We start from the raw sequence: 13,903 nt of genomic DNA, 5'->3' as shown, positions 1-13,903 counted from the left end.
CCTTCTTCTTTGGGTTAAAGGAGATGAAAATATTTTACCCCCAATTATATTTGACATATTTTGAGACGGCTGTCAGGGGCTCAGCAAACAGAAGTGTCCCTGCAAAGCTGTCTTTTGTGGGGGCGATTTGCATCTGTGCAGAATCTGCATTGATGCAGCCAGGCCTTCCCTTGTCAAGATCTGGGAAAGATGAGCTGAGAGTCTCATACCTTAAAGATCTGAAAGAAACATTTACCGTCTATTCTCTCTGAGGGCTGCTACCTGTGAGGGTTCATCTACCTAAGGAGACCACCTTTGCTCCTCAGGCCTCCCCTTCTGCCCCTCCCATAACGTGTCCTGCCACCGTAACCTGATTTACCACCATGACCTGTTTTTGGCCATGCCTCAAGGGAGCTCCCGTTCTTTCTGTAACCTCAAGATGGTATAAAAGCTTTTGCACTCCATTGTGGGCTTGGGTAATCACTCTGTGATGCTCCCTGTCTACACATGTACACATGAATAAATTGTATGCCTTTCCCCCGCCAGTTAGCCTGCCTTTTGTGAATTGATATTTCAGCAAACCTTCAGAGGGTGAAGGGGAAGTTTTCCCTTAGCCCCTACAGGGTAAAAAATCCAGCCTGCTTGGCCACAAGGGTGACCATGTGGCCTAAGCCAGCTTATCAGTGTCCTTCCCTGAGACTGTCCTAATCTGTGGTGTTGGGAAAAGCTACGCTTCCTTCCTGCTACCAACCTTGTAAGAATGAGGGCCTCTGTTTCCTTACCTGTACCATGAAGAGGTTGGACTGGAAGGTCCCCAAGGGCCCTTTCAGCTATGGCCTGCTGTCAGTAGTTGTCTGGTACTCCCTTGCCCTTCCTTGCTGCCCTCCATCCCTCACTGCCTCACACCTGGGATCAGCCCCCTAGGAAAACAAATGACATAGGGGAGCAGAGGCATGGAGAGGTGATAGTGCTGGCCTTGTGACAGCTGTGCCTAGAGCTAGGCCTCCTCATTCTCTAGTCCACCTGTTCCACCCAGGGGTGCAAGCCCTCCCTGATACCTGGAAGACCCCCTTCAGGCCACCTTCTTTTTCATCTACATCCAATTTGTCACCAAATTTCTTAGATTCCACCACCTCAATATGTCTTGAATCCTCTGCTTCTTTCTTTCCCCACTGCCTCAGTAGGAGTACAGATCCTTGTCACCTCTCTCTTGGATGACTGTAATCAACTTCCAGCTGTTCTCTCTGATCTTCTAACTCGCTATAATGCATCCTCCGCTCAGTGGCCAGAGGGCTCTGATAAGCCGTATGGATCTGATCACAACTGACACCTGTGACCAGCACATTAGACTTCTCACATCCTGGGACTTTGCCATACAACTTCCCGTTTCTGGAATGGTAGTGAATGAAGGTGCCTTGCAAATGTCTACTTTTCTGATGGCTGTCTTTGTCAGTTTGGGCTGCTATAACAAAGTACCATAGACCGGGTGGCTTAGAAACTAGAGAAATTTATTTCTCACAGTTCTGGAGGCTGGAAGTCTGAGATCAGGATGACAGTGTGTTCAGGTTTTAGTGAGGCCCCTCTTCAGGGTGGCAGACTGCTGATTTTGACTTCATGTTGTATCCTGACATGGGGGAAAGAGGGCTTGAGAACTTTTGGGGGTCTGTTTTACAGGGGTACTAATCTCATTCATGAAGGCTGCACCCGCATGACCTAATCACCTCGCAAAGGTTCCTACCTTCTAATACCATCACCTTGGGGATTAGATTGAAACACATGAATTTGGGGGGGATACAAACATACAGCCCATAATAACCCGTGATTCAAATATGGCGGTCTCTTGGACTCCCTTGGCTGACAATGGCTCCTCTTATGGCTTCCACCTGGGTGAGATTCACCAATAATGTTTTGGTAAATTCCCTTCTAGTCTTTTTTTTTTTTTTTTTTTTGAGACAGAATCTCACTCTGTTGCCCAGTCTGGAGTGCAGTGGTGTGACCTCGGCTCACCACAACCTCCACCTCCTGGGTTCCAGTGATTCTTCTGCCTCAGCCTCCCAAGTAGCTGGGATTACAGGCGCCCACCTGGCTAATTTTTCTATTTTTAGTAGAGATGGGGTTTCACTATGTTGGCCAGGCTGGTCTCGAACTCCTGACCTCCTGATCTGCCCACCTTGGCCTCCCCAAGTGTTGAGATTACAGGTGTGAGCCACCATGCCCAGCCTCCCTTCTAGTCTTTAAAAAAAATAATTGAAGTCATAACTTAATATTGTTTTGTGTTCTTTTTCTTTTTTTTAAAAAATTATTTATTTGAGACAGGGTCTTGCTCTATCACCCAGGCTGGGGAGTACAGTAGCACAACAAGGCTTACTGCAGCCTCAAATTCCTGGGCTCAAACAATCCTCCTGCCTCTGCCCCTTGAGTAGTTAGTACTACAGGCCCAAGCCACCATGCCGGGCTAGTTAAAAAAAAATTTTTTTTTTTTTCAGAGACGGGGCCTCAGTATGTTGCCCAAGCTGCTCTCAAACTCCTGGCCTTAAGTGAGCCTCCTGCCTCAGTTTCCCAAAGTTCTGGGATTACAGGTGTGAGCCATTGTGCTTGACCTTCTGTTCTTTTTCACTTCACAATATCTCATTGACATCCCTCTACATAATTAGGAATGCTTGAAATCAAAATTGTGAATGGCTGCCTAGCCATCTGGCTGGATGTGTCATGCACTTAGGACCTGAACATCTCCAAGTTCCCCAGCCTCCCATGAGCACTCAACATCCAAATGGCCCAAGTCCCAGAGCCCACCTGGGTCTCTGGAGGAAGGCTAGAGCCCTCCCTGAGTTTACAATGCTCCCACTCCGGGGATTCTGTTGTTTTGCTTGTCCTTTGTCACCTGCAGCCCCCAGTGCTCTGGGATTTTCCCTGTTCCCTTCTGGTGCCCTCATCGCCCCTTTCTCTCTGTGTTGCTGTAGCTATTTCTGAGACCCGCAGTCTCTGTGTGGACTACAGCCTCTGTCTTAATTTCCCAACATACAACTGAGTCGGTAAGTCATAACTTACTGACTTTCTGATGGCTTGTTGGTAACACGGAGTGGTGTTTCCCATAGCAGTTCATTGCGAACCACCTTCGCCACTTGCCATATTCATGTTCCACCTGTCCTAGCATGTACACTAATATTGGTCTTTCTAGCAAAACTCCCCCCCTCACCTTTTTGCTTCAGTTTCATCCTAAGCAAGTATTCAATTTATTTTATTTTATTTTATTTTATTTTATTTTATTTTTTTTGAGACGGAGTCTCTCTCTGTTGCTAGGCTGGAGTGCAGTGGCGCAATCTTGGCTCACTACAACCTCCGCCTCCCAGGTTCAAGCGATTCTCCTGCCTCAGCCTCTTGAGTAGCTGGGAATACAGGCGTGCACCACCACAACCAGCTAATTTTTGTATTTTTAGTAGAGACGGGGTTTCACCATGTTGGCCAGGATGGTCTGGATCTCTTGACCTTGTGATCCACCCACCTCAGTCTCCCAAAGTGCTAGGATTTCAGGCGTGAGCCACCGCACCCGGCCCCAAGTATTCAATTTCTTTTTCCTCCATGGCCCACCTAAAATCCTCTCCTGTACAGAACTTCTCTTGGGGTAATACTGGCATGGGGAATTACAATCGATAGCGGCCTCATTTGCTCTGAGTCCCTGCCCTTTCCCAGGGCTCACTGCTGGCGGTCATGGTCTTTAATCCAGGCTGCCGCCTCGTTGCTGGGACCCTGTCCTCCTCAAACCCGAGCTTCTTTTCTTCCGTCCTTTCTATTCCCATGCCAGGGCTGTCATCGACCCCCCCACCCCCCTCCCCACCTGCCCCCATGCTGTCGCAAAGCCTGGCCAAAGGAAGCTGAAAATCATTTAACATCACAAGAGATTCTGCAGAGATGCCGCCCAGCCCACAATGAAGAAGGCCTTTTACATTATTAAACAGAATGCTTAACATCGCTGCTTACCGCATCTGCATATGGAGTCAGGGCCTCCCCAAGACAATGAATAGGTACTTGAGGTACATCTGCATGACCAAGAGGCCTCGCCTGTGGGTCCCTAGCGGAACAAAGGCACCGTCTGCCCCCAGGACAAATTTTAGCTGCTCCCCTTAGAGACCCGGGCAACACACCACCGGCAGCTTAAAAAAGAAATAGCGGTTTTGTCTGCTGCCTCCAGCGTTTGAGGATTCAGAAATGTTAAGGTCCAGTCTCCGAGGTCGCAGCCACACAATTTTAACACTTCCCCTATTCGATCCACCTATTTGCTTTTATAAATAACACCCAGGGCAGGGAGATATTTGGGGCATAAATTTTTACTCACATCCACAATTTCTTTAGGACAAATACCTAGAAGTGGGATTTCTCGGTCACACTATGTGCACTTCTAAAAAGCTTTTCTTATTTCTTGTCAAACGGCCCTTCCAACGGCCGAAGTGATTTGCAGCCCGACCCCCTCCCCCGCACCCCTCCCCGCAGTGAGCAAGGGACCGCCTCACAAAACCCTCCGCAGCATCAAGTGTTATCATTTTTAATCCCTGCTAATTTGATAGGCCAAATATGGTATCTCATTGTTGCTTTAATTTGCATTTCTTTGCATTCTAGTGGGGTTGAACATCTTTTCATATGTTTATTGGCCATTATTTTGTGAATTGCCTGCTCATTGGGGCCTTGTTTTCTTCATCTCCCGTCTTCTCCAAAGCCCAGGGCTAGCCATGAATTAAACACACCATACATTATTTTTAATTAATCTTCCTTAAACACAGCTCTGATCATGTTACTCCCCTACTTACAAAACCTCTGATGGCTCAGTATTGCCGACAGGATTAAGTCCAAATTCTTTAGCCTGGCTTTCAAGGCCAGTCACAGTGGGCCCCAATCTAGCTCCTCCCCTGACCCCACACCCATATCCACTCTCTCTTCTGCCATGGTGGACTATCTGATGCTTCTCACCTCTGTCCTTTGCATGCCACTCCCATTGCCCTCATTCATCCTTAAAGACACAGCTGAAATGTCACTTTCTATTGAGCGATTTCCTACTAGCCCCTGGTTAGATGGCTTTCCCACCTCCTCTATCTACTCCTGTTGGCAGCACAGGTTTGGGTGTCTGGCTCTTCCTCTCCCTCTTTGGACGGTGAGCTCTTGGGTGGGGTGAGGTGGAGGACAGGGATCAGTCTCTTTCCAGTCTGTGGCCTCAGAACCTGAAGGGTAAGATGGGGGGAGGGTTAATCACAAGGGTCTCCTTTCACAGGCCAGGTGCTGCGCTAGATGCGCTAAATGCTTCATGGCTGCACACACATGTGAATATATGATGGAAGAGAAAAAAACAGTTTTAATCCAAACAACTAAAGTCACTTCTAGCATCCAAGGGGTTGAGACAAAATTCACACGGGGTGGGGATAGGGGATACATCTCTACACCGCTGCCTTCCCCTCTAGGGCAAAGAGAAAGGGTGAGAGAGAAAGGAAGTGGTCCAGTGTTAAGTAGAGCATGATAGTGAATTTCGAAAGGTAGAAAGGCAGTCTGGGAGCTGCATAAGGGCAGGGGCTAGAGAAGGTCAAATTATTCAGCATAATGAAGTGGGAGGGAAGATGTAGATATATGTATATTTGAGTTGCCATAGGGTAGCAAAGAGTGGGGAGCAGAGAGCTGGCCAAGCGGCCTAGAGCTTACCCAGATGATGAGAAACACTCAGGAAACTTTTTAAAGAACGGTGTCTAAAACTTGCTTTAAAATTGGCAGTGATTCTATGATGTAAGCTACTCTGTCTTATCCAGCCTGTGGTCAAGTTGGCCACACACACACACACACACACCACACACACACACATACACACACGCACACCCTGGCAGGAGTGTGTTCCCTGAGAGGGAGGCTGGAGACAGCACATGCGGGGCAGTGAGGCAATCTATAGCGAAACCTCTCAGGGCCGCAGGCTCAGAGCCAGAAGGTACTGGGAGAAGCAGCCTATCTGCCAGCTTCCCGCCCATGAACAGACACTTGAGTACTTTCCTTCAAATCTTAGAAAAGCTACCTAAGTTGAGACAAGGATACCCATACCTCTCCAGAGTGCCCCCAGCAACCCTAGGTATAGGGAGGTCTTGCCATCCTACAGATGCTGAAATGAAGGCTACTGGTAGGAAGCAGTCGGCTAGCACTCACACAGTTAGGAAGCAGCAGGCTGGGGTGCCTGATTCTAATGCCAGTGTTGCTACTGCAGTGCTTTGCTGTTGGTGTCTAGCACCGTGCCTGGCATAGTGTCAGTATGCAATATATGTTTGTCGATTGAATTCAATCTGTTGCAACCAACATTTTCTCATGTGTCGATTGTGCTCCTGAGTGTGTGGACAAGGTATTGAAGGGTTCAGGGATAGAGGGTGAAGATGCTATAAGGCATGATTCCTGCTCTCTCTGGGCATATAGACAAATAGGCAAAATCTGAACATGTAAATGGTGAGCAAACAACCCCCAGAAGCAATGATAATAACAGGTACCATTTATTGAGTGTTTATTATAAACCATGCACTGTTCCAAGTGCTTTTCTTTTCTTTCTTTCTTTTTCTTTCTTTCTTTCTTTCTTTCTTTCTTTCTTTCTTTCTTTCTTTCTTTCTTTCTTCCTTCCTTCCTTCCTTCCTTCCTTCCTTCCTTCCTTTCTTTCTTTCTTTCTTTCTTTCTTTCTTTTCTTTCTTTCTTTCTTTTTTTTTTTTTTTTTTGAGATGGAGTCTTACTCTGTCGCCCAGGCTGGAGTGCAGTGGTGAGATCTCGGCTCACTGCAACCTCTGTCTCCCAGGTTCCAGTGATTCTCCTGCCTCAGCCTCCTGAGTAGCTAGGATTACAGGTGTGTGCCACCATGCCAGGCCAATTTTTGTATTTTTAGTAGAGACAGGGTTTCACCATGTTGGCCAGGCTGGCCTCGAATTCCTGACTTCAGGTGATCCACCCATCTCAGCCTCCCAAAGTGCTGGGATTACAGGCGTGAGCCACCGTGCCCGGCCCCAAGTGCTTTTCATAGATTATCTCATTTAATCCATATAACAACCTCATGAAAAAGAAAATGGGTCACAGAGAAGGTAAAAAACTTGCCTAGGGTCACACAGCTGATAAATAGCTAAGCCGACGTTCAAATCCAAGCAGCCTAATTACAATTCCACACTTCTAACCTCTAACCTTGGTGCTCTGCTGCCTCCCTAAGCACCCTAGCCAGGGTGCCAGGTACATGATGTTGAAGGCTAAAGGTCACAGGAAGTTGGAGAGGACTGGGGTAGCCAGGGAGGGCTTCACCAGCTCGATTGTACCTTACCTGGGCCTTGAAGACTGGGGAGGCTTGGGACAGGAGGGGTAGGAGGGCACAACTCTAAGCAGGGCTGGGTGTGGAACCAGCCTGGATATTGCAAGACTGGAGTCAATGAGCAGCACCTGGTGGCAGATGTGTTTTGTGTGACCCAGCTCAAAATTTTACAAAAATCTGAATGATTTGACATTTTAAAAAATCTAGAGATTTTACCTTCAGGTTTTGGATTTCTGGCTTCTCTGGATAAATTAGAGGATCTGGCAACATTGGGCCCTGTTATAGTCTGAATGTTTGTATTCCCCCCAAAATTCATACATTGAAATCGTAGCCCCCTAGGTGATGGTACTACGAAGTGGGGTCTTTGGGAGCTGATCGGGTCATGGGAGTGCAGTCCTCATGAATGAGATTAGTGCCCTTCTAAAAGAGACTCCGGAGATACCCTTGCCCCTTCTGCTACTGAGGTTACAGTGAGAAGATGGCCATCTAGGAAGCAGGCCCTCACCAGAAACCAAATCGGCCAGCACCTTGATCTTGGACTTCTCAACCTCCAGAATTGTGAGAAATAAATTTCCATTGTTTATAAGCCACCCAGTCTATGGTATTCTGTTACTGCAGTCCAAAGAAACTAAGATAGGCCCTCATTCCTGCATGGGCATGATTGGTGGGAATTGAAGAATGTCACCACTTGTAAATGAGGCATGCCACTCCCATTCTCCACACACTGCCCTACTCCTGATTGCATCTCCAACTCAGCTCACATCCCTCACTTCCCTTCCCTACCCAGCCTCTGCACGCCAATGATTTTTGTGACCTCCATGCAGACTGAGACTGTTGGAGGACAGTGTGGAGCCCTGGATGATCAAGGCATGTCAAATGGCAGCAGCCTGCCAGGAGAGGAAGGTTTCCTGCAGAAGCTATGGGGAGAGGGTTAGAACGTGCAGTTGCAGACTACTGCACAGGATCTTGTCTCCTATCCTGAAGAATTGTGACTTTATGGACAGGCAATGGGGAGGAGTGTTGAGAGGGAGGAGCGCCACTGTGGAAGCAGCAGTTGTGATGGTTTCAGCAGGGATGAGACGGTCTCAACTGAAGCAGGGGTGGGGAGCATAGAGGTGGAGGAAAATCCTGGGGTGCAGAGAACATGACCAGAGGAGACTCAACAGTCTGGAGGGTGACCCACTGGCTGGAGGATGTGGGAGGGGAAAGCAGGGACAGGGAGCATTTGTGGTGACCGAAGTTTGCTGAGCTGAGTGAACAGTGGCACCATGAGCAGTAATTGGACCAGATGGCTGGTGGAGGGCACATGGAAGACGAGATGAATCTAGCTTAGCCATGTTAAATTTGAGGTGCTAGAGAGAATTCCAGGTGTCTCCCAGTTGGGGATGTGAGACTGGAGTTTGGCAAAGAGGATGGGGCTGGAAAGAAATTTGTAAAGCCTCCTTTTGGAGGTTGCAGTGAGCCGAGATCATGCCACTGCACTCCAGCCTGGGCAACAGAGCGAGACTCCATCTCAAAAAAAAAAAAAGAAAAAAGAAAAAAGAAAAGAAAAGAAAAGAAAAGCCTCTTTTAAGAGGGCAGTGTGGCTGAGGGAGCAGAAAGTGTCTTAAGACAGAAATTTTGTGCCAAAGCCAGACCTCAAGGTGGAAATGTATGAGGCGTGGGTGAACAGAAGAGGAGGAAGCAGAGAAGTTGTATGTGTGTGTTTGTGTGTGTTGGTAGAGGGCATTGGCAGAGAGATCAGAGGAGAATCAGGACAATAAGTCTTCATGAAAGCCAATGGAGGAGTTTCAGGAAGGAGTTTGCTGCATCCACCAGGGCCAAAGGCCCAGGAGATGCAGGTAGAGAAGTAGCCAATGGGGTGGATGATTTCTAATTACAACCTCACTCAGCCTTATGGTGGAGGATGATTCCTCTTCACCTCCTCACCGTCCTTAAAAGCCAGCAGTCCTCTGTGGGTTGAGGGAGGAGTCAGGGATTCTGGGCAATGTGCTCTAAAGGCAAAAGGTCACACAGCTTTGGCCCGAGAAGGATGACTGCTTGTGTTTGGTTCCAGGGCCCTCTCTCAAAGCAGGTAAGAGGGAGAGGCCGAGGGGTGCTGGGAACAGCCTTGCTGGCTGTAGCGCAGTGGTTCACAGCCTTGGCTACACAGGAGAATCATCTGGGGAGCTTTTAAAACATACGAATGTTCAGTTCCCACCCCACACCAATTAAGTCAGAGTCCCTGGGTATGGGGCCTGGACATTAGTATGTTTTAAAAGCTCCCCAGGTGATTCTCATGTGGAGCCAGAGCTGAGAACCAGTGATCTAGGTGGTCACTGGAATCAGGTTTGACCCAATACTCCAGCACTTCATGGCGGAGGAGACAGAGGGGTCTGCCTCATATGTGCCACAGATGCCATGCCAGCTCGTTGACCCTACTTATAATACTTAATTGACTCCTTAGTTAGGTGTACATGCCTATTGGAAAGCATACGTCACAGAAAGAGGATGTGAATTTTGAGATTGTTTTCTCCTGCTCACTTTACCTAAAATGCATAGATTGCCATATGCCTCTGGCCTCGGGGTCCCGGTCAGCACTGGAGTTTGTTTCCCAGGGCACGTCCACTTCACTCTTGTAAGGGATTCCTGAGGTTCAGCACATTTCAAATCCTGCATGTGATGCTGTCACTGGACATTTGTTTGATTGTGAAATATTTCAGACACACAGAAAAGAAACTAGAAACAAATACCTTAACAGACACCTGTGTACCTATCGCCCAATTTTGTGAAATCTTAACAGTATTCCACACATGCTTCATGCCTTGTTTTAGGAATAAAACTATCCAATAGAGATAAGGGTCCTTATGTACTTCTGCCCTGGCCCATTTCCCTTCCTCTCAGCCTCCCCAGACATAACCACTCTCCTGAATCTAGCATGCCTCATTTCCATGCATGTTTTCATTACATATTGTTCATCAGCCCCATTTGAGAGAAGAGGAAACTGAGGCTCAGGGAAGTAAAGGGACTTTTCCCTGAGTTTCACAAATCTATAGTAGGTAATAGAGTCCAGAAGCCCCAGGAAAAGGTACCAGGCAGTCACCTCCCAGCATGCTGGCCCTGCGGTGCCCCCATCTGGGGACCTCCCACCCCATCATTCTGTCAACACCTCCTTTACAGGCAGGGTCAGGCCAGACCAGGCCGAGCATGGCCCAGGACCAAGCAGAAATTGTGGCCTTCTCCTCACATCTCTTGGTTCCTGCCCTGCCTAAGAGGCCAGGCTCCCGGAGACCCAGGCCAATCCCTCCTCTGTTTCCTCTCTGGGCCACTGCCCAGCCCAGCTCTACCCAACCTCCACCAAGCCCAAAGCAAAGGGCCTGTCTGTGCTGCCAGATTTCCCCACTAGGCCACTGGGGGCTGGGCTGAGGCAGGGGGCCTGCAATTTTGTTCTGTGGGTCCTCCAGTCTTAATTAGCATGCTGCCTGGAGTGGCAGGCCAGAGGTGGTGGGCAGGCGCCGAGACACTCTCCCTGGGCCCCAAACCACTGCCTGCCTCCACTTCCCCCCTCCTTGCCAGCTACAGAGAAGGCCTGTGTGCAGTGGGAAGGAAGGCAGTGGCCGACACCTCCATGCTGAGGAATTGGGCGGGGAGAGGCAGGCAACACAGGCATAAACACAGGGAGAGAATTGCTCCCCTTACACATGAAGGAACGGGAAGGAACAGAGGAGGAAATGGTTATTTACGAAGCACCTACTTGCAGGCGGCCACGCGTTATTCTAGCTGCTCCCCATAGCCACCCCATGTGGGACATAGAGTGGCTTCTTTGGTACAGAGGGGCAAACTAAGGCTGGGAGAGGTAGAGTCAGAGGCCCAAGGCTCACAGCTAACAAGAGGAAAAGGAATCTGGCCTACATACCTTTCCAAGGAAGCAATGTGACTCCACAAACCTCTCCCTTCCCTGGAGGTCTCTTCCTCCAGGAAGTCCTCTTTAGTGGAGGAATGGCCAGTTTGGATGGGTAGGCAGAGGTGAAGGAGAGTGAATGGGCAAGAGGCATAATTTACTCTTCATCCTGAAGCACCCAGCTTCAAAGCGATGAACTTCCACTCTGGAGACTTCAGGCTGCCGCTTTTGCCTCCTAGCCCCCAGCCCTGTCCCGGGCAGACCCTGCTTCATTTAGGGATGCTCACCTTAAGGCACCTTTCTCCCACATGATTCCACCTTGGCCTTTGAGGACCCATATGATCATAGGCTGCAGGACTAGAGGCCTGCCCAGGGTATCCCAAGATGTGGATTATGGTAAAAGCCAGAATACAGCTACCATTTATAGAGAAGTTAATATGTGCCAGGCACTGGGTGAAGAACTTGAAGAACTTGGCCCACATTAACTGCTTTGATCACTACCATGGAGATACTATTATTTCCCCACTTTAAGACCAAGGAGTTGGAGCACAGAGAAATAAAATAGAGGAACCTGCTCTAGGTTTATTAGGTGGCTGGGCTCCAAAAGCCATGCTCTGAGGGACCTTGGAAGACAAAGCTGGCTGGTAACTGGGAGGAGAGGCTGGCAGTCCCAGAAAAGTGTCTGAGGAACAAAGATGGCCATGGGAGAGAACTCCTGCAGTCTCTTGGCTCCAGCTGGAAGCCCTCCAGGCTTTGTAGTGGGGCTCCTGCTCTGCCCCTGGGGTGTCTGCCAACTGACCCCTTCCAGAGGCTTCCACCAAACTACTCCCTCAGGGCTGGGAAAGGAGGGTGTTTCTCAGAGCCATCTGCAGCATGTCCTTGTGGAGCTGAGGCTGTGGGGTGAGATGAAGTGCAGGCTTCAGTCCCCTGCCCAGCCGGGGCAGAGCCTAGGGGAGACCCAGCAGGTGGTAAGTTCTGAGCAGTTAGACCCTAGCTTGGAAGCTCTACCCATGCACCTCCTTTCCATATCTGGGCCTGAGGCCTCTAGGCTCTTAGAGAAAAATTGCTAAAATCAAATTGCAATTAACAGAGGCAATTATCCGCCTATTAGAAAACGTCCCCTGAGCCAGGCCTGTGCTGTGAGCTGCCTGGGCCCCACGGAGCAGCTAGGCCCCAAGGGAGGCCCCAGAGCACAGCAGCCAGGGGTCAGGGGGAGGCAGGCAGCAGCCTAGGCCTGGTGGGGGGTGGGAGGCTCTGAAGAGCCCTGAGGGGGTTCAATAGAAACATGGGTCTACACTGTGCCCTGGGAAGGGAGCCCCAGACTGAGCACAGGTCTGGACGCTACAGACCCTCCTTTCCCAGCCCTTCTCTGGCCCCTCCTCTCCATTAAGCCTTCCTCGAGGGCAGACCTGGGGCAGTCTGTGTGTGCGGAAGAACAAAGGAAAGAAAAATCACGCAGCAGTAACCCTCCGGGAGCGATGATAACATTTTCACTTGAAAATTACCAGAGAACAGATTGTCTTATGCAAATTATATGCAAATCACACTCCGGTTGGTCCTCTCCTGGCACTACTCAGAGTTCTTCCAGCTCTTTCCCTGACTGGCTATGATGGGGGAGGGGGAGGGCTCTTATGGAAATTATGGTTTAGGGGGAATTCTGCCTAGAACCAAGCTGGATGAGGTGACCTCTTGTCTTTCCATCCAGTCCAGCTCTCTGAGTCTTGCTGCATTTGCATGAACCCTGCAGAAACCCCACTGCCTCCTGGCTGGACTGCTTTTAGACCCCAAATCCAATGGGAGTTTCTCTGCTGTGTCATCAGGACTGTCCATTTTCAGAAGATATTTGACGTTGGTTGCACATAATAGGAGGAGCATGAGACCAAGAATCAAGAAAGCAGCCAAGGGTTCTCAAATCTTTCTCCAGCCCAGACCTCACCGCTGGGCTCCAAATGCAGCCATTCCATACCTGGATGTCCTGAAACTCAACGTGCCCTATGTTTGCTCCTCCTCTGTGTTCCTTCCTGACTCAGGGCCTGGCAACCTCATCTAACAAGATGCCCAAGCCAGAGCCTGGGAATCAGCCTTGACTTCCACCCATCCTCTGCCTTTAATCCATCCTGTCCCATCTACCAACTACAATTCTTGGGAGATTTGTCCCCTCTTTGCTGTCCTCAGGGCCACAACTGTAGTTTATCTATCACTTTCCCTGACCTATTCCCAAGGTCTTCTGTCTGGGTTTCTGCCTCCAGGTCAGCCTCCTAGATCTGCACTCCACCCTGCTGTCAGAGTGGTCTTTCTACAAAGCAAACTGACCATGCATAAAATCCTCTGTGGCTCCCCAGGCCCATCAAGTTCAGTCCAGACACCTTGCACTGGCACACAAGACCTGTAAGATACAGGTTGCAGGTCCACCTCCTGCACTGTCCCGCATGTCCTCTACAGGCCCCATCACATTCCATCTTGTCTCTCATCAGCCACAAAACACACTGCATTCTGACAGCCCTGCCCAAGCTGTTCCCTCCCCTAAAACATCTTCCCCTTCTCCCTTCCCCACCCCCAGTGAAATCGTGTTTATTCTTCAATCAATGCTTTGTCTGGGAGACATTCACTGTCTGCCAATGCTCCCCACAACACACACACACACCCCTCCCAGCTGTCATTGGGTTTCTTCCTCCTCAGTTCTCCCCCAGTCTTGTTTCTATAACAGAATTAATTCACATTGTGTCCTCAGTAACTAATTGGTGATT

General features: G+C 49.3%; 5 annotated features.

Annotated features, from left to right (window-relative positions):
* Positions 3,562 to 4,112: an enhancer, noted in NCBI's record as "OCT4-NANOG-H3K27ac hESC enhancer chrX:68484064-68484614 (GRCh37/hg19 assembly coordinates)". NCBI's record gives its function as "activates a minimal SCP1, AML or CMV promoter by ChIP-STARR-seq in naive and primed H9 embryonic stem cells {active_cell/tissue: H9 hESC(naive and primed)}" and the evidence as "EXISTENCE:reporter gene assay evidence [ECO:0000049][PMID:30033119]".
* Positions 4,113 to 4,663: an enhancer, noted in NCBI's record as "OCT4-NANOG-H3K27ac hESC enhancer chrX:68483513-68484063 (GRCh37/hg19 assembly coordinates)". NCBI's record gives its function as "activates a minimal SCP1, AML or CMV promoter by ChIP-STARR-seq in primed H9 embryonic stem cells {active_cell/tissue: H9 hESC(primed)}" and the evidence as "EXISTENCE:reporter gene assay evidence [ECO:0000049][PMID:30033119]".
* Positions 4,664 to 5,215: an enhancer, noted in NCBI's record as "NANOG-H3K27ac hESC enhancer chrX:68482961-68483512 (GRCh37/hg19 assembly coordinates)". NCBI's record gives its function as "activates a minimal SCP1, AML or CMV promoter by ChIP-STARR-seq in primed H9 embryonic stem cells {active_cell/tissue: H9 hESC(primed)}" and the evidence as "EXISTENCE:reporter gene assay evidence [ECO:0000049][PMID:30033119]".
* Positions 10,720 to 11,221: an enhancer, noted in NCBI's record as "H3K4me1 hESC enhancer chrX:68476955-68477456 (GRCh37/hg19 assembly coordinates)". NCBI's record gives its function as "activates a minimal SCP1, AML or CMV promoter by ChIP-STARR-seq in naive H9 embryonic stem cells {active_cell/tissue: H9 hESC(naive)}" and the evidence as "EXISTENCE:reporter gene assay evidence [ECO:0000049][PMID:30033119]".
* Positions 11,707 to 12,207: an enhancer, noted in NCBI's record as "H3K4me1 hESC enhancer chrX:68475969-68476469 (GRCh37/hg19 assembly coordinates)". NCBI's record gives its function as "activates a minimal SCP1, AML or CMV promoter by ChIP-STARR-seq in naive H9 embryonic stem cells {active_cell/tissue: H9 hESC(naive)}" and the evidence as "EXISTENCE:reporter gene assay evidence [ECO:0000049][PMID:30033119]".

This window comes from Homo sapiens, chromosome X (genome assembly GCF_000001405.40).
Source record: "Homo sapiens chromosome X, GRCh38.p14 Primary Assembly".
NCBI lineage: Eukaryota > Metazoa > Chordata > Mammalia > Primates > Hominidae > Homo > Homo sapiens.
This window is presented reverse-complemented; position numbering and strand designations above follow the sequence as displayed.